The following is a 20,650-nucleotide window of genomic DNA, read 5'->3' on the forward strand; positions in this document are numbered from 1 at the left end:
CTGATCTGATCAAGTTCCTACTTTTAGTTGGATAAATTTATATTTTAAGTTAGACTGGAATGAAATTGAGAAGGCCTACAAGTTTACAGCATTGAAATTAGGTGGAATATTTAAAATAATTATTAATAGAACTTGCATATATTAAAGAAAAATACTCTAAATGGAGGCAAAAACATGGCACCTGTGAAAATATTTATAAGTTTTAATGCAGAAAAATATAGAATTGAGAATTTTCTTTAGTGGAATTTGCTTTAAGCTTACTGAGCACCTCAGCATGTGTGTGTGCGTGTGCATGCATGCACGCACGCATGCCTGTGTGTGTGTGTGCATATGTATATTTCTTAATGATAAATATCTTAATACATAAAGGTCAATTTATTATATCAACAATTTAAAATGTATTCACCATAAAATAAGCTTTGCAGAACAATGAAGGCCATTTTATGAAAAAATGTAAAATATTAAAACAGTATTGAAAATAATACATTCTTCAGAAAAATGCCAGTGACACATTTTTAGGTATACAGCTAAGAAACTAATACAGGAATCTGTACAAAGAATTATATAGATATGTAATTTTTAAATGTTCAGATAATTATTATAATGAAGCCTTTTTAAATGTTGCTTTAATTTACAGGGACCTTGTTTATGTTTTTTTAAAAATATTTTTCCAAATAGTTTTTGAATATAACTATTTTTTGGGTCCACCAATTTACTAAGACTGATTTGTCAGTCAGTAAACCCTGCAACAATTATATAATTTAATGAGTTTCAGTACTTCCATTCTTTTGCTCTCAAATGTATCCCAGTTTTGATGAAGAATTGCATAGTCATCTTACCTTTAATGGTTAGTGAGAGCTGGATTAGACTGTCACAGAAAGTAGTGAGCTTCCTATCCCAAGACATTTTGAAGAACAGGGTAAGCTGAGCCCAACTAACAGATGCTATAGATGGCATGTCCGAATCAAGAACGAGGCTGGAACAGATCACTGGGACTCAGCCTTTCACTTCTTGTCTGCACAATCACTTTTTCAAAGATATTTGCGCAGAGGAGAGAAGCAACGCTTTATTTTTTATTAATAAAGTTTTATTAATTTTATTATTTTTATTATTAGTTTTATTAATTTTAATATTAATTTTATTAATATTAGTTTTACTAATATTAGTTTTATTAATTTTTATTCATCAACTAAGTAAAAGGAAGAAAAGAAGAAGAGAGAGAAGGAAGGGAAGGGAAGGAAGAAGGGAGGAAGGAAGGGAGGAAGGAAGGCAGGAAGGAAAGAGAAGGGAAGAAAGAAGGAAGAAAGGAGAAGGGAAGAAGGAAGGAAGGAAGGATGGAAGGAAGGAAGGAAAAAAGAAGGGAAAGAGAAGGGCGATAGGAAGGGATGATGGGAAGAAGGGAATAATAAGTGAGGGGGGAAAAACAAGAGGCTCTGAGAACTACGACAGCCTCTCCTTGTTGGACATAATGCTAGGGGTTACTTTCTTCTTGAATCATGCTTAATTTTCACTAGTGAGGTCTGTTACAGCCTATCTGTTCATAGGCAATGGTCCTTTTGCCAGGAAATGGGCAGAAACCCTAGCACAATAACCCATCGAATGTACTTAAGACATTTGTTGGTGGGTCAGGAGTAAAGTGGAATTGAGGAAGCACTCACTGTCTAAGGTCACTGCAGCCAAATAAGCATTAGTGGTTAATCTGTAGACAGGCAGGGTGGCTGCATTTGGCAGGTTAAACAGGCAATAACACCATAGAGTGGGGAGGTTTTCTTTAATAGTTGTTACTAAAAGTGCAAACGAGACTATATTATCATCTCACTGGTAGCATGAATACTGCTAGGTGAGAATCATGAACTGTTGAACTGTGAAGTCCTCTTTTGACTCTGCAATGCCACCATAGCTATTATGGTATGATAGTTAAGAGCATAGCATGTGGAGCCAGGTGGACTTTTAATTCAAGCACGGCTCCATAGCTTATGGCTTAGGTGATCCTGAGCAATTTCCTGAACATGTCTAAGCCTGTGTCTTCATTTGCAAAGTGGGGATAATATTTCTTATGGCATTATGCTTTGGGAGGATTAAATAAAATATGACTGACCAGTGCTCAGTGTCTGATAATATTGAGTAAGCACTCATTAAATTGCAGTTCTCATTATTTGATATTAACATTATTATTAATGATATTATTACTGTCATTATGAGCATTATTATTATTACTGTAGGTGGCAGTCTGGTTTTCCCCTCTTCCCTCCAAAACTTCAGTACTACAATTATTGCTTCATTCATTTACTCAACAGATGTTTATTAAGCTCCCATTATTTGCAGGGTTCTGAGATAACTGGGATTGAAAAGTGAATAAGACATGTTGCAAGACCTCAAATGCGGGTGGCAAAACTAGACTTTTTGCCTCTTTTGGGATAGCCTTTACTCAGAAGTAATATAACTGAATCTATTGCCTGTACTTTGTTAAAGGACTGAACTCAAGAAAGACTTGTTCCGTGTCACCTGGCCTGTTCACTGAGCAGTAACCCTCTTCCTTTTAGAAATGGTGTGGGCACAGGTGTGTGTATTTTCTCTACATGTATAAGTTAGACCTGACTATGGATTAGGAATGAGTTAGTATTGCTGGAGCTGTCTTAGGTGGTAACAGTATGGCAATGACAGTGTGTGGTTTTAGGTGAATGGGACTTGGGTGCATGTTTTGCTTTGCTGCAGCTGTCTTTCTCACTCTTGAGCTGCTAAGAGGTTCCTGAAAAGGCAGGGCTATTTGTGCCTCCATATATGACTTTGTACGAGTTCTTCCCTTTTCTGTAAACAATCATCTCTGTCTACCAATGCTTCTCTAGGGAGCCTTGCTGATACTCTTGCCTGTGAAGTAGGGTGGACCACATTCTCCTTTGGCCCCACTGTGCTCTCTATAAACTTTGATAATTATATGTGAAATTGTTTTCTCATGTAAAGATACAGACATATATCAGATACAGACTGATACATGTCTTTATATTTCTGCTAAATCATAAGTCCCTTAAGGAGAAAAACTGTTTCTTGTTGATCTTGTACTTTTAGCATACAGCACAGTGTCCAGAACCTCAATGGGAGTCTAGTAAAAACTTGCTAAATAGGTGGGTGAATGAATAAATGAATGAATGAAATGATGTAGTACAGATATATAAGATTAATTATTCTACCCTAAAACTTTTTCTGCATAATCAGTGAAGTCTCCAACAGGGACTACTTCTCATGCTTGTATTTCACACTCTTGATTCTCTTACCACAGCTAAACCCTCAAAGGACTATCCCCTTCATACTCTTACTAACCAAACTCTGAACATTCAAATCAGTGTTTCAGAAAGTAAATACCATCCTCCCTAGTTACTTTTGACAACTGCTGTCAGACATTTTCACTCACCTAAAAATCATATAGATTTGTCATCACTTTCAATTTCCTAAAAAGGCCCAACTGTCTTTCCCCATCACTCCCAAACCTGATGACAATTCTAATTCTCTTTTCCTTCCTCCTACCCTCCAAGTGCATAACCTTTTCCCCTGTCTTGACCCCATCTCTTCTCAGTTACTGATAACCTTTGCCTCAAACTCCTTCCCCATCTTATACTCTTGATTAATCTATCTATCCCTCTCAGAATCTTTCTTAGCTTTGTTCAAGCATGTTGGCTTTTACTTTTTACACAAAGTCATCACTAAATTCTATCTGCTCTTTTAGCCATTATCCCACACATGGCCTTTTGTTATTAATCTCTTATCCCTGTCCTTTTCCCCAGGCTCTTTCAAGCCACATTTACACATGAACAGGTCTGCCATATCTTCACAAAGTTATCATTGGATTCCACATACTTATCCAACTGCCACTCAAGATTCTCCTACTGTTCATCATATCTAAACCCATGTGGTAGTTCCTTGATCTCCTTCCATCTGAGACAATTGAAGTAGTCCTGAGAACTATAACAAGTAAGTTTTTGAGTCAGCTACCAAGGTCAACTAATAATCTCTCTAGAATTCAACCTTTGGTCCTTCCCACTCTTTTCAACATTAGATAGCTGATCCTGACCCCTTTTTCTGTTAAGATATTGTGCTTGTTCACTTTCTGTCTTTACTAAGTCATCGATTTAACAGCATCTTTCTGATTCCATTATATTCAAGCAACATCCATTATCTACACTGTAAGTATTGGAAAAAATATAAAATATATAAAGCACCTAGGGCAATGCCTATCACAAAATAGTTCTTTCAATATCACTTCTCTATCTTGACCCTTTTTCTTTGCCCACAGCAATACTGTGGATTCTTTTACTTCACAGGCGGAAAATGGGTACAGACAGATCAATTAAACTTCCCTCGAAGTTGCAGCTAATCTGTGACTACATCAGAACCAGGAATCAGGTCTCCCTCTCCAGGCACAAACACAGCATTCGTCTATGACCTCTCTGCTTCTGAACTATGCTTTCTATCGTGAAATTTTATTTCCGAAACTCCAAGGAGATTTCCAGATTTAATAATTATGTGAAACACAGATATTATTAACAATAGAGTAAGACTGGCAAATGTGCACCAACTTAAAACAAACTTATGGGTGCTAGGATGAAATGAATTTGAAAAATAGAAAAGAATTGATTACTTACATGCACAAGAATGCTGACCTTACAAAGGAGGAGCCACTGAAAGTACTCCTAAAGTGTTCTGTACCCTGTTACATAATTATATGTTTTATATAATTACATACACATATATAAATACTATATTATTTAAAGTAGCTTTTAATCTTTTTTTTTCTTTGAGATGGAGTCTTGCTCTGTTGTCCAGGCTGGAGAGAAGTGGCCCGATGTCAACTCACTCCAACCTCCGTCTACTGAGTTCAAGTGATTCTTGTGCCTCAGACTCCAGAGGATCTGGGATCACAGGCGTGTGCCACCACGCCTGGCTAATTTTTGTATTTTTAGTAAGATGGGGTTTCACCATATTGGCCAGGCTGATCTCCAACCCTTGACCTCAGATGATCCGCCCACCTCGGCCTCCCAAAGTCCTGGGATTACAGGTGTGAGCCACCATGCCCAGAGTAAAATAGCATCTAATCTTCAAAGTTTAATTTATATAAAAACTTTCAAAGCCATTGTATGAACTGTGAGCTATATGGTAATACCTTGGTTAAGTGGGTGGTCAGCTATGGGTACATGCATCAACCAAAAGAAATGATGACTTTGTGAATCTCAGTACAACATTTTCAGGTAGTTCTGCCAATGATTATCTTGGCAACAATGGGAAATTCCTTAACCTCTATTGAACTGTGGTTGATACATCTATAAAATGATGATAGTGCCGAGGATTAAAAATAGTTTATACAGTGCCTAATGCAATGCTTGGCACATAATGGTGCTATTTTCCTCTTCTTCCTCTCATCCAGCCTCTTTGTGAGATTCTCTGATTACAGTCCATGGAAGTTAGCACTCATATCACAATTATCAAAGCTTTCTTCAGGGAGTCACATTTTTACATTTTCACTTGTTTGTAACAGAAAAAATAAAAAGGAAATATCCTCAATATCTAATGATGAAGAATTGGTTAAACATATTTTGATACATCTATTTAATGAGATGCTGTCCATCTTAAATGTTAGTGTGTATTTGTATACGTCAATATAAAGAGCAATTCATAATATAGTATTAATTGAAATGGCAAGCTCAAAACAATACATGCAAGTCCGATACCATTTAAATAAATCATATGCATATAAAAACATATTATTTACACATAACAGAACACACCATTACTGGATTCCATGTGGCTGGACAATTAAGATGCTTTTAAAAATTTTATTTCTTATTAAAAACAAGCTAAAGAACACAAATGTGATTTACTGAAGAAAAGCTTTAACACCCTCTGAAGATTTTACATGAGAATTTTAACTAACAATCTGAATCTTAGTGTAATGAGATTATGGTTGATTAAAAAATTTAATATATATTACATACTTTTTAAAAAATAAGTATATATTACTTGCTTAATAAAAAATAATAAAAGCTGACAAAAACAAGCAAACCCTATATTCATTGAACCACATCATATACCCTGGTAGGTCAATGTACCACACGTACATTCCCGTATGAGAAGGGACTTACGAAATGCCTGAATGTAAAAATACACCAGTTCTTTTTTTTTCAAATGCATACAGCAAATATCTGCTATCAATGTTAAATAATTTTTCAGTTGTATTTGTGTATCTACAGATTCTAAATGTGACCAATATTTTCAATGACACTTCATGCCGTAATCATTAGAGTCAATGTACAAGTATTATTGTAGTTTGGATTCCTGGAAAAAATGCATACAGATTCAAACAAACTTGTAAAATCTAAACAGAGTCTTTTATTAGTGACCCCTAATGACCCACAATCAAAGCTAAACATCTTGACTAAACAATTATCTTTGGGAATTGAAATGTAAACAGAAAGAAAATTCGCTGTTTACCCTTACTCTGTGTGGCTATTCCTCTCTGGCATTTTCACATCTACATTCATTCTATCAATATTATAAAGTTCTTGTTAAAATTTTAAATCACTTTCTTATTTAGAAAACAAAATGAATATAATTTTATATCTACATACCTAAATAAATTGCCTTCCCTGTATACATACAATCTCTTCAACAAAACCCAGTATAAAACCATGCAGGAAATGGCAGACTTTGTTCTTAGAACCAGGCATATAAAATGCCTTCTGAATATTATTTATTATTTTGCCCTTTCCACTCATATTTCTAAATCAGTTTGTCTCTCTAATATTATCACATGAATAGTTTTGCCAAACTTGGGTACACTCATCTGCATGCAAGTCCTTAGAATGGTTTCCCAAGAACTGTTTTAATATTGGAAGTTCTCGTGCTGATTAAAAATTTTGAAAATAATCTTTAAAATATATGGAGGTATACCACTGAACTGCAAACTTAAAAATGGTTAAGATGGTACATTTTATGTTATGTGTATTTTACCACAATAAAAATAATAAGTTTTAAAAAATAGTCAATAAGCCTATATTGGGAAGTCTTCCCATTAGGGAGAAATATATGGAGGTATATGTATGTGTATTTAGAAAAAGGAAGCTTCACCAAGGATTAATTTCTACCTTTGCATGGACTCTAAGGAATTGAGATTAATACAAAGCCTAAAAAGAAATAGATCTGGTATACTTTATAAATCCCAGGCAGTCAGATCAAAGTTGGTATGAATGCCATTTGTTAAAAGTCAGAACATTGTGTCATATACTTTTACTTTGAATGGACATGATTTGTGGACTTACCTCATTACACTATGAGTAAGGAATAATTTCAGGAAACTCCATTTTAGGAGTCAGATATTTTAGCTGCACAAACCTCCTGCAGAGACAGAACAAAAAAAGTAAAATTCCTTTTGTTTTAGCTTTCTACAATCATAAACCTGTGCAAATGTAGAGATAAATAGCATTGCCAAAGGCAAATATTGCTTCCAACTGATGGTATAGCAGACTATCAACTTGTCCTTGCCTGCCTCATGACTTTTGTTGTTTACTTACCAAAGAAATGTCACTTTTAAAAATGTGTAAATGTCCTTACATGGAACTCATAACAAATGGAGAGAAAAACAGAATAAAGAAGGAAATAGTAAATGATTATAACAAACTCTTTAGTCCCTTACTTGGCCATCTGTCTTCAATTTCAGGCATGTTGTTTTGAGTACCGTCCCATTGTGACCAAATATAATGGGATAGGCAAGTTAATGAACTACAGCAAGTACCATCATAAATGTGATGTATCACCAAGGCAAAGCCACCCAAGATGCAAGGCAGCTACTGTTTTTCTGTGAAGCTACTAGTTTCTTGTACAGTGCTCTGGGGAAAAGAGTAGCCTCATTTATCTCTTTATTTATTGTAAAGTCTCAGACTGCTGCCTCATTCTTTCTCCCTTCCTGACCTTGACCTCCAAAGAAAAATGAAAGAGGCAGAGAAGCCACAGAGAGATGTAGGCAAAAAAGAGAGAGAGAAGATTTGGATTTACCTGAAGGAAAATATGTGTTCATCACTTTCTTCACTAGTCAGGATTCCTGAATAAATTATCAAATCAATTTTGCCAAAGTGGAAACATTTGTTGGCCGACTCAGGCACTAACCAACTGTGTCTTTGCATATTTCTTTCCCAAACTAAACCCTTTCCTCAAAAATACCTGTATGTTTTACATTCTTTAAATTTGTTCAGAGTGTTTATAAGTAGACACTATTGTCTGAAGCAGTGAATTTAGTTTCTTGCTTATGAAAAATATTTAAAATGGTACTAGAAATAAAAGACACAGTGTTAGTAACTAGAGGCTTGAGAGATTGTATTGGAGAAGTCTGAGTCTCTGTCGATCCATTTTTATTCTTGTGTGAAATGGATTGAGTGATTTTGTTTTAAATGGCTAGTTGATAATAAAGCTCATTACTGTAAGAGATTAGAATATCTTCCTGAACTCATTTCATTCTCTGACTTTATCTTTCTCATCTATTCCACTTTATCCAAGTGAAAATTTGTTCTCTATGTATTTCAGCTGATTTAAGACATGAAGCTGCTTTCTCATTCACAGGTGCTAAAAAGCAGCCCGATCTTTCATCTTAGAATTCTCCATTTTCTGTGGGGTTCTTCATACCTAGCATCTATTATTTTGCAGTGTTATGGGCCTAATTTTGAAATTCCCACCTCAGGTAGATACACCCTGTGTACACCCCATTTCTTGAGTGAGAACAAGACTTTGAATATGATGAATTTCACTCCTATAATTTATAGGCTACCTTCTATAGCAAAGGTGAAAAGATTACACTGAGTTAACTAAGGCCCCAAATCAGTTGAACTTCAGTTAATTGACCTAATTAGGTGACCTACTCAGGTGAGCCCTGAAAAGGGGTTGCGTATTAGTCCCTTCTAGCATTGCTATGAGAATGGGTAATTAATGAAGAATAGAGGTTTAATTGGCTCATGGTTCTGCAGGTTGTACAAGAAACATAATGGCTTCTGATTCTAGGAAGCCCCCGGGAAACTTACAGTCATGGTGGAAGGCAAAGGGGGAGCCAGTACCTCACATGGCCGGAGCAGGAGGAAGAGAGAGAGGTGGGAGGTGCTATACACTGTTAAACAACCAGATCTCACGATAACTCACCCACTATCATGAGAACAGCACCAAGGGGATGGTGTTAAGCTATTAATGAGAAGTCCACCCCCATGATCCAATCATCTTCCTCCAGGTCCCACTTCCAACACTGGGGATTATAATTCAACCTGAGATTTGGTGGGGACACAGATCCAAACAATATCAGGCTGCATCCTTCCTGAAAGAAGTGATTCAAAGTACAAAGGTTTCTATTTCTGGCCATAGTAGGAGGAAATTACTATGTTATGGAGAGGGCCATCTGCAAGGAATGATGGGTGCCCACAAAGAACTGAGAGTGACCTCTGGCTGACAGCCTGCAAGAAAACGTGGACATGAGTCCTACAGCTGCAAGGCACTGAGGTCTTCCAATCACTTGAATGAGCTTGGAAGAAAATCCTGAGATTAGACCACACCCCTGGCTGACCCCTTGATTTCAGCCTGATGAGGCCATGAGCAGAGGACCCAGTTGACCTGTGTATAGACTCTTGGCCCACGAAAACTGTGAGATAATGGATTTATATTTGTTTTATGTCACTAAGTTTGGGGTAATTTGTTATGCAGCAATGGAAAACTAAAACACACAGCATATGAATGCACCAGAGGTATTGTAAAGTGTTTGATGATTACTTTCCCAGTCAATCCTCAGACTTATATTCATTGTCCTGAACTGCCACTCTTCAGTACTACTCATAATATAAAACTTATTTGGTTTTTGGAATAATCAAGCTGGACTCTAGATGTGTCCCCTTCCCATTTCATAGATGAGGAAACTAAGGTTCAGAATAGTTGACTAGTGTGAGGATACACTGTAAGTAGAAAAAAATTTTAGATTTGTTTCAGAGATTTTTCCACAATGGTAGAGAAAGTAGATTAAGATTTACTTTTGATTTAACAATAATGGAATTAATCCCTCCCATTTCTGAGTTGGGGTAATATGGCTGATCTTTGTATTTCCTATAACACCAAATGCAGTTCTTTGCAGCTATGCTGGAACCCTTGTTTCTGGAAGTATCATATTGGCAGAGTACCTTGCACCTGATAAGTATTTAATGAATATTTTATGAATTAATGACTGACTTTAATGAGGCTTAATTGGCTGTGTAGATGGGAGAGATGATTAGAAATACAAATATGTCCGCAAAATTATAATGGGGTAGAGGATGGAGGCAGACAATAAAGAAAACAGAATGGCTTTTAAAACCAAATGCTTAAAGGTTTCGAAGGAAATCAAATGTTTCTAAGGAAATATTTGCCACATATATTAATGAAATACTTAAAACACTGTGATATACTCAAACCAAATCAACAAATAAAATAAAATAAAATCATCATTCATGAAATGGAAAACAGCATTAATGAAATAGAATTACAGAACTATGATTTCACCTGAAACTGGAGAAATACCATCATCTATTTCTTCTTGCCTCCCATGTCACTCCCATTGTGACAGCTATCTCAAAAATTAGATCAATGTGCAAAGATATTTTCACCAACCTCAGGTCACAATAACATCTTTTCTAAAGGAAGAGCAACAGTAGCCAAATTGGAAAGAACTAGAATCCCAGACTGCACCTGAAATACTCAGCATTTGCTTTAACAAGGGATGTCCATAACTGAACTCCATACTTTTCTGGAGGTTCCCATTATTTCCTTGTGACAATAAACAGGAAGCTTGAGGTTGTTTGAAGGAAATGTCTTCCAATTCTCAATCCTCAAGGTCTAACCCAATGTTTCCATGGGACATGGAAGTAAAGCATGTATTTTGCCGCTGATGTTTCTCCAGTTGTCAAAATCTCATAAGTGAGCGCATTTGACTTTAACAGCTCATGTGAGTTTCAGGAGTGCCAGTGGGCAGCAGCGGTCAGGACAGAAAAGCTCGTGGAACATTACGAATCATACAATCTCTCAGTGGGAATTTTAGAGGGTTGGTGTATTTCTTAAGTCTGATTTTCTATTGAACAAAGGATATTACAAAATCTGTGCTTCCTGGAGCAGATTTTTCTTTGGCCTCCACAGACATTTTAATGTGAGGGAAAAATGCTGACACTGAATTTGATTTATTTTCAGTTTCAGAAAAACATGACCAACATGAACACCACTGAAGCATAAGTATCATAATTGAAGTGACAAAATAAAGAAAAGGACCAAATGTTCTCTGAAAGAAATTACCCTGGAGTGTTATTTACTCTGATTTCGGACTTCAGTGTAAGTGAGCCCACAAGCTGAAGTCCCAAACTGGAGTGGATAGGTCACCCTTGCCCCCAGGCCTAAAGGTTACTATAAGGGTAGTGATTCTGGGAAAGAGTACCCAATAATGGCTTATACTGTCAAAGCAGCCACACATAAACTGTTTATTAGTTTCTGTTAGTCCTGGTTTTTAGTCTAAAAGTGCTAGAAGCAACAATTATTCTTTAACATCACATATTGCAGATCTACAAGGCAATCGTTTGTCAGGAGCACGCTAATGACCTGAAAGAGTAAATACTAGTTCCAAAGATGTTTAAATTATCACTAGCACATAGCTAACATATAACAAATATCTGGTAAGTCTATTAAAACTGCAAAATACAAGATGCCTGGCCACATTTGAATTTTAGATAAATAACAAACTTTTTTAGGATAAGAAAATATTGTATGGGCATGCTTATATAAAAATATTGTATGGGCATGCTTATATAAAAATTATTCATTGTTTATCTGAAATTCAGTTTTAATTGGGTATTCTGAATTTTCACTTGCAAAATCTGGTAAACCTGTTTTTTTATTTTTATTATTTTTATTTTTTAAGTTCCAGAGTACATGTGCAGGATGTGCAGGTTTGTTACATAGGTAAACGTGTGCCATGGTGGTTTGCTGCACCTATCAACCCATCACCTAGGTGTTAAGCCCGGCATGCATTAGCTATTTTTTCTAATGCTCTCCTCACCCCCACCTTCCCCTGACAGGCCCCAGTGTGTGTTGTTCCCCTCCCGGTATCCATGTGTCCTTGGTGTTCAGCTCCCACTTATAAGTGAGAACATGCAGTGTTTGGTTTTCTGTTCCTGCGTTAGTTTGGCAAACCTATTCCAAAAACAGTAAGATGAAATCACTCTGAACTTCCTAGATGACACATTTTATTCTTAAAGTCATTAATGTGCACGTTACCTGAAAAGAAATGCAGGATGAATAGTTATTTCCTTATCAGTTTCTCTATTGGACTATGCACACTAACCTGGAGAGAAGGTGAGAGTCCAGTAATATGTATCCTAACAAGGGCAACCAGAATAGTTGAGAGGCCTGTGATAGGTTCCTCAAATACCTAACCTTTAGTCACATTTGATCAAACAATTTTTATCAGGTTTTAATTGACAAATAAAAATTGTATATATTCAAGGTGTGCGATGTGATGATTTGAAATATGTAACATTGTGTTTTATACATATATATATATATATTTTAAATTAGTCGACGTGTCCATCATCACACGTAGTTACCCTGGTTTATTTATTTATTTATTTATTTATTTATTTATTTATTTATTTGGTGTATGTGTGGTGAAGACACTTAAGATATACTCTCTTAGCAGATGTCAAGTAAACAATACAGTATTGTTAGCTATAGTCACCATACTGTACATTAGAGCCCCAGAACTTATTCATCTTACAGCTAAAAGTTTGGACCATCTGACCACCATTTTCTCCCATCTTCCAGCCCCTGGTAACAACCATTCTATTCTCTTTTTCTATGAATTAGACTTTTTAAGATTTCACCTATAAATGAGATCATACAGTATTTGTCTCTCTGTGTCTGACTTATTCCACTTAGCATATTACCCTCCATGCTCATTCATGTTGTTGCAATCAGCAGAATTCCACTATTTTTAAGGCTGAACACAAGCATACATACACACATCACATTATCTTTATTCATTCAGTCATTGATGAATGCAGCTTGTTTCCATATCTTGGCTACTGTGAATGGGGCTGCATTGAACATGGGAATGCAGATATCTCTTCAACACTGATTTCATTTCCTTTGGATTCATACCTAGAAGCTGGATTACTGGATCATTTGGTAATCTAAACAAGCTATTTTTAAATAGAGATTGAGGATGTGTTTACGCAATACTTATTATCAAACTTTGTTGTAGGCATCTTGAACACAAAATCAAAGCACAGTCTCTTGGATTGAAAAGCTTAAATTCATGTTGTTAAGGAAACAGTAAAAATACATGGGACACACAATTAGAAAATGATGAAAACCAATTTATTCATCATTCAGACGTGTGCTATACAGACTCATTCATTTGCTCATTTGTCATGAGTGTCATGAGTCAGGTCTTGCTTCAGTGCTGATGAAAAATCAGTCTCTTTTCTTACAGAGTTTCTATTCTAGTTGGGGATAAAGGGATAATAAACAAATGATAACGGATAAAAGTAAACAAATTAATAAGAACATGTCTCATGGTAACAGTTTCTATGATGATTATTAAAAAGGGAGGTAGGTTTGGGGCAAGCAAAGTTGTCTCTATGGAGGTGACATTTCAGCTGTGCAACAAGGAGCCAGCCTATAGGAAGACTGAGGAAAAGCAGCATTCTGATGGAGAGTAGACTTAGTTCAAAGACCCTAAGGCAGAAGTGACAAAGGCAGTAACAACCTTGCTGTGACTGAGGAGCAGAGGAAAGGATCAAGTGACTGGGTCAACAAAGGAGAGAGAAAGGGAAGGCCAGTTAGGCCAGGATTTTCTTCTAAGTGTCATGGAGAGACATTGGAAGGTTTTAAGCAAGAAAAGTTACAGGGTCTGAAATATTTTTTAAAGAAATCATTTTAGCTGCTGCAAAGACACAGAACTGTCTGTACACAATTCCCCAAGTAAGAATGAAAGGAGAAGCAGTGGTGGAGAGACTTTGACCCTAAGCAGGGGAGACAATGGTAACTTGTCTCAAGTAAGAATGGAGAATGAGATGGAGGTTAAGTTTGAGATATATTTTGGAAGCAAAGTTGATAGGACGTGCTGATGCAAAGAAGAGAATTAAGGATACTTCCTAGGTTTAGCTGAAGCATCTAGATGGATGCCAGTGCTATTTACTGAGAAGGAAAATCAGGTGATCAATAGTTATGGTATAGGATTTATTCAGCTTGAGAGGAATTTTACTCAGCTAAATGGATATGTTAAATAGGAGAGAGAGATTAAATCTGGCTGGCCTAGTCCAGCAAAAACCATGGGAGAGAGAGGGCTTGCCCTTAAAAAGTAGATTGAATTCAAATGGAGATGGGAGGAATTTTTTGCATCTCCACAGAGGAAACAAAGTTAGAAAACACGTAAAAATGAGAATAAGCATGAAATATGACTGGAAGTAAAAGAGTAGGGAATTTATGTTGGAAAAAAAGTGAGAGGTAAAATTAGAACTATAAGGGATACTCATTATTTAATCAAAAGAGTTTGAATTCTTTTTCTAAAAAACATGGAGCCATTGCCAATTTTAGGCTTAAAGCTAGGAAAACTTTCAATTCTGTCTTATTCCCTGTTGGATCTCCATTGCTGAATAAAGGGTCTGGCACATAGCAAGTCATCAATTTATTACATAAATGAGTGGAAAATGAATGAATGATTGTATAGCAAAGTTATGTTTTCATAATGAAAGAACAATGGGTGAAGAAACCAGGGAAAGAGCTCCCTATTTCAAACATGTAGGCTGTCAGATTGGAGATAAAACTTTTGAATAACATAGTGGTAAAAAGGTGGAAATAAAAGTGCTTGATAGTATTTCCCATCATGGCAAGATGGCAAAAGTATATAGGAAATACAAGTTTAGTTCCTTCAGAAGGTACTAAAGATTTAAAGTAACACAACAAATTTCTACTCAATGAATTCAAAAGAGAACTTAGTTAATGAGATCAGACAAAACTTGGATAAGATATTTTTTAATATTCTAAAAATCGAGAGACCCCCAATTTTTTCTCAGCTATTCATACATCATACCGTTCAATTTAAATAGTTTGATAATCAAAAGCTTGTGTAGTTTTTTTTTTTGTTTTCTTTTCAGTGAGGCTGCAATGTTTCTGCCAGAACTTGAAATTGATTATTTTCTGGGGCATAATATTGATATCCAATGGGTCAGTGAATTAAGATTTTACTTTTCCTTATAACCTGCTTATCTCCAGATTACCTCCATTTTCTGCAAAAATTTCCATGTGTCATACTTTTGTATTTCTGTATGCAGATACACATACATGTTACAGTTTTTTTGATGGTAGAGATGGTTACATAAAATTGCTTACTGGGGAAGCAACACTAAAAGTCACTGCTCAGCACACAAAGAGGAAAACAAAAGATTAAAAAAAACCCTCCAATAAAGTCAGTAAGCTATGTTGGCACTCACTTGCTGTTGGCCTCAAAGCTCTCAGATTATACACTCCTTTTATTGGATTGTTACTTTAATGGGACTTTTTAAAGGGCATTTTAATAGCCTCCTTGTTTCAGCAGATATACATTGAAAACCATTTGGAATACCTCCCAGTTGTAACATTTTTGATCTTCACATTTCTTAGAATTCTGACAACCTACTAGGTAACAGTTAGTATGATATTATGCTGACACATTCCAGAGCTGGCAGTTGTTAGATTTGCCAGTGCAGTTTGTTGTCCAAATCCCATGGGCCTGAGATTTATTGCCTTTTCCCCTTACCCACCTCTCCCTAGATCCTTCCTTGCCCCCTTTTAACTCTTTGAATACACTATAGATGTGTTTTTTAGGTACATCAGGACTATCCACTATAAAGGCCTAACCTAGTAAGAAACAAGAATTAGCCGCAAAATTTCTTATATTATAAATTTGTGCTATTCTGTGTCATTTGAAGAATCAGAAATAACTCATTCAGGAGAAAGATATTTTTCTTCCAGCTAGAGTCATATCACCCTCAGAACTATCCATGGCCACAGATGGATCATAGGTGATAGCTACAATCTCTGAAAAGGCAAATCTGGCAGAGTGATTCTGCTGTGGTCAGTACTCAGATTTCTTCTTTCCCAGACAAGACCTTCAAGGATGGTGAGAAACAGTGAGGGAGGAAATTAATAAATGATTATAAACACGCTTCAAAAGCTGCCTTTTGTGTGGCTAATGATATTATGACTGGCTAACTCCTCATTATTAACAATCCAACTCAAGACTTATTCCCCTGAGGCCATCCCAGCTGGATCAGGTGCTCTTCCTGTCTTGTAATTGACAGCATATAGATCTGTGGCTGTGGTTACTATTGGACAGTATTCATCTGTTTATGTCTCTGTCTCCCCTTCTAGATGCTTGCCTCTTAAAGTCAGGCCCTATTCCTCTCTATATTTTGCATTCCTAGCTCAGTGCCTGGCTCAATGTTAGTGCTCAATAAATATTTGTTGAATAAATAAAGGAAGGAAGAAAAGCACTGGACCAGGTGCTATGTGAGAATGCCTTGGCCTAACTCGCATGCCAATTTCTACAACCCTTTTTGTTTTTTTTGCTCCTATATGAACACAGAGAAACAGAACACAGGCCAGGCATCTCCAGCATCCAACAGGACATTATTTAATACTGTGGTCTCACCTCTTTTTGTTTCTCTATAAGGAGATTACTTACAATGGAGTTGAAGCCAACCCTATGACAGGGAGTCTTATACTTACCTAGCTCTTGTTATTAATAGGAGCAAAAAGAGCAAAAAGGGTTATAGAAATTGGCATGTGACTCAGGCCAAGGCATTCTAACACTGTCCTTGGTCCAGTGCTTTTCTTCTTTCCTTCATTTATTCAACAGTTATTTATTGAGCACTAATAATGATCCAGGCACTGAGCTAGGAACTCAAAATATAGACAGGAATAGAGCCTGATTTCAAGGAGGCCAGCATCTGGAAGGGGAGACAGAGACATAAACAGATGAATACAGTCCAATACTAAAAGTACAACTGCATATCTATGTGCTGTCAATTATAAGACAGGAAGAGCACCTGATCCAGCTGGGATGACCCTGGGGGAATGAGTCCTGAGTTGAATTGTTAATAATGAGGAGTTAGCCAGGCAACAGAGAGGTGAGCTTGGAGCACAGAAGATTGTGAGGACCACATCACCAAATATATCAAATTGAGAACTCATAGAATGTGTTTGGAACACTTCACATATTGCAGTTTTTCTGTTTTATAAAGTGTGAATTGTAGGCAAAGAGAAATTATGTTGAAGAAATCAGGAAGCAATCAACATAGAGGAACTGGAGTTTATTACAAAGGTCTGTGCTGTCCAACACACTCTACCACTAGCTACAGATAGCTGGTTCAATTTAAATTAAGTAGTATTTTAAAGGATAAAATTTTAGTTCCTGAGGTGCACTAGTCACATCTTATGTGCTCAATAGTCATGTGGGCCGGGTGCTGTGGCTCACGCCTGTAATCTTAGCACTTTGGGAGGCTGAGGCAGGCAATTGCCTGAGCTCAGGGGTTTGAGACCAGCCTGGGCGACACGGTGAAACCACATCTCTACTAAAAATACAAACAATTAGCTGGGCGTGGCAGCGGGCGCCTGTAGTCCGAGCTACTCAGGAGGCTGAGGCAGGAGAATCAGTTGAACCTGGGAGGCAGAGATTGCAGTGAGCCGATATGGCGCCACTGCACTCCAGCCTGGGGGACAGAGTGAGATGCCGTTGCAAAAAAAAAAAAAAAAAAAGTCATGTGAAGTTTAGGGCTACCATGGAGAGTGCAGATTATGGAATATTCCCATCAGCACAGAAAGTTCTACTGGGCAGTCCTGAGCATTTAAGTGTTTTATGTAAGTAAGTCAGAGTTAGGTCTTAGATTTACACTGAGGACTCTGAAGGACAAACTCAAATGGAAAAGACTGGAGAAACTCATTCAGAGGGACTGTTTAATGGGTCATAGAGCTTTCATTCTACTAGAATAAGACAGATTTTTTTAAATAGTAAGTGAAATAAATAGTTTGTCAGAGAGTAATAAGTGTTCTAGACAAAAAGAAAAAAAAAAGGAAGAGAGAAAAGCCTGCTGAATGGCCACAATTATAAATAGGGTGTTCAGGGAAGGTCTCAATGAGAAGAAAGACCTGAAGGAAAAGATTATGATGTAGGCACCTGGGAAAGACTATTACAGGTAATAGGATCAGCAAGAACAGTCTTTCATGAATATCCTGGACTATATGTAAGACACATTTGTATGCAGATAGGTATATATATAGAGAGAGAGATGTGTGTACGTATGTATGATGAGACTTTTTTTTTTTTTGAGATGGCGTTTTGCTCTTGTTGCTCAGGCTGGAGTGCAATGGCACAATCTCGGCTCACCACAACCTCCGCCTCCTGGGTTCAAGCGATTCTCCTGCCTCAGCCTCCCGAGTAGCTGGGATTACAAGCATGTGCCACCACGCCCGGCTAATTTTGTATTTTTAGTACAAATGGGGTTTCTCCATGTTGGTCAGGCTGGTCTCGAACTACTGACCTCAGGTGATCCGCCCACCTTGGCCTCCCAAAGTGCTGGGATTACAGGCATGAGCCACTGCACCCGGCCTCAAGAAACTTTTAATGTGAATTAGCTTATACAATGATGCAATTGTGAGGGCTGGGAATTCCAAAATACATAGGGCAGGCTGGCAAGCTGGCAGGCTGGCAGGCTGGTAACTCAGGCAAGAATTGATGCTGCAGTCCTGAAACAAAATTTCTTCTTCTCTAGGAAACCTCTATTTTTGCTTCTAAGGCCTTGAACTGATTAGATAAGTCCCACCCACATTACTGATAATCTTCTTTAAAGTCAACTGATTGTATATGATAACCACGTCTAAAAAACACCTTCACAGCAAACTCTAGACTAAAGTTTGATTGAATAACTGGGTGCTATAGCCTAGCCAAGTTGACGTAAAAAACTAACCATCATACTCATCTAATCCTTGTTTTTCAGATAACAGAATTTAGATTTATAAGGATTAAAATACTTGCCCAAACATTTTCAGGAAGAAGAATAAGACTCTTAACAGTTACTTTTCCAAGGCTTCTTACATCAATTCTAGTGCTCCTTTTACTGCCCAGTCAGTGTAAACCAGACACAGAAGCCTAAATTAGGACACATATAACTTCTGTTTTGTTATATTGAGCTCTAAATTAAAAGAGGATAGATTCAGACATGGATTTATTTTATAAAGTTTACGATTGAACTTTATTTTTGAATGGAACTGAAAGTCCACTAGGAAGAATTTTTTCCATCCTTGCATTGTTTTTGCTTTGTATATAGTCACATTAAAGATGAGAATTTATCAATAAACGAAAAGAATGAGAATAAAAAATGAGTCCATTAAAATGATTCTTACAGCATAAAAGAAATGCATTTTTTTTCTAAGATTCCTACTTAGAGGAAAAAGTTCAGTTACCATAAATTAATTTAATTACACCTGTAGTTTCTTGAGACTACATGGAAAGTCTCTGCCAATGCCCAAAACTCCACTTTAAAAAGGTAATTTTAAAAGCAAAACAATTAAAAGAAGTAATGTTGAAACAAAATTATACATTTTACTCACCATGTAATTTTGAATAAATTTAATTCAATACAAAACCATTATTAAGTATAAAATTGAAGCCATATATTAGGATTTCTGCTTTACTCTGTGATCACATTTCATGAAATAATGTTATATCGACATTTCAAATAATTTTTCATCACCAGTAATTCCATCATGACTAAAACCGTATTTTTGAGCCATCCAACATGGAAGTGCAGAATACATAATTTCCAATTCTACCTGGCTTGATTGAAATATAGACCGATAAAAATTCAGTGTTTGATGACAGAGCAATTAATTCCAAGCCACAAGAAACAGTTTGCATTTCTTTAGATAATATTTTCATTTAATCTATAGCTGTATATAATAATAATCTCCATAATGTGACCAATTATATATTCCTTATTATTTTAAATTCCAAAATATTTCATACTCAAGAAGAAGCTTTTTCTTATTTAATCAAGAATTAACAGCAATATTTTGGCCATCTATGAAAATGATCGTATGATTTTTCCCTTTTTGATTCTTAATACTTATTTTAAATGTTGAATTACCCTTACATTTTTAAAATAAAAGAAATTATTTTTATTTGTTAATCTTTTTGATGTTCTGAAGGCTACTGTTTACTAATATTTTACTTAGAATTCTTTCAACAATCATTATAAGTTATTCTGGACTTTTTTGTTTGGTTATTTTTCTATCAGTTTTTCATGTTTTCTTATCAACGTTATTTCATTTTGTTTTGCAAATTTATTTGCATAGAGCCAAGCAAAGTCACTTCAAGTTTTCTTTTGTTTGTTTTTTGTTTTCTTCTTTTTGAGACGGAGTCTCGCTCTGTCGCCCAGGCTGGAGTGCAGTGGCACGATCTCGGCTCACTGCAAGCTACACCTCCTGGGTTCACTCCATTCTCCTGCCTCAGCCTCCCGAGTAGCTGAGACTACAGTCGCCTGCCACCACGCCCGGCTAATTTTATGTATTTTTTAGTAGA

At 36.5% G+C, this 20,650-nt stretch overlaps 1 long non-coding RNA gene across 2 annotated transcripts in view; it reads right to left on the reverse strand.

The window, feature by feature from the left end:
• LOC105377462 (uncharacterized) overlaps positions 1–20,650 on the reverse strand; it is a 360,687-nt gene that overhangs the window by 207,135 nt on the left and 132,902 nt on the right. For both annotated transcript variants that reach the window (XR_939273.3, XR_939272.3), the window contains one exon: positions 7,308–7,383. This is a non-coding gene — a long non-coding RNA (uncharacterized LOC105377462). The remainder of the gene's footprint in view (positions 1–7,307; positions 7,384–20,650) is intronic.

Source organism: Homo sapiens, chromosome 4 (assembly GCF_000001405.40).
Source record: "Homo sapiens chromosome 4, GRCh38.p14 Primary Assembly".
Classification (NCBI taxonomy): Eukaryota; Metazoa; Chordata; class Mammalia; order Primates; family Hominidae; genus Homo; species Homo sapiens.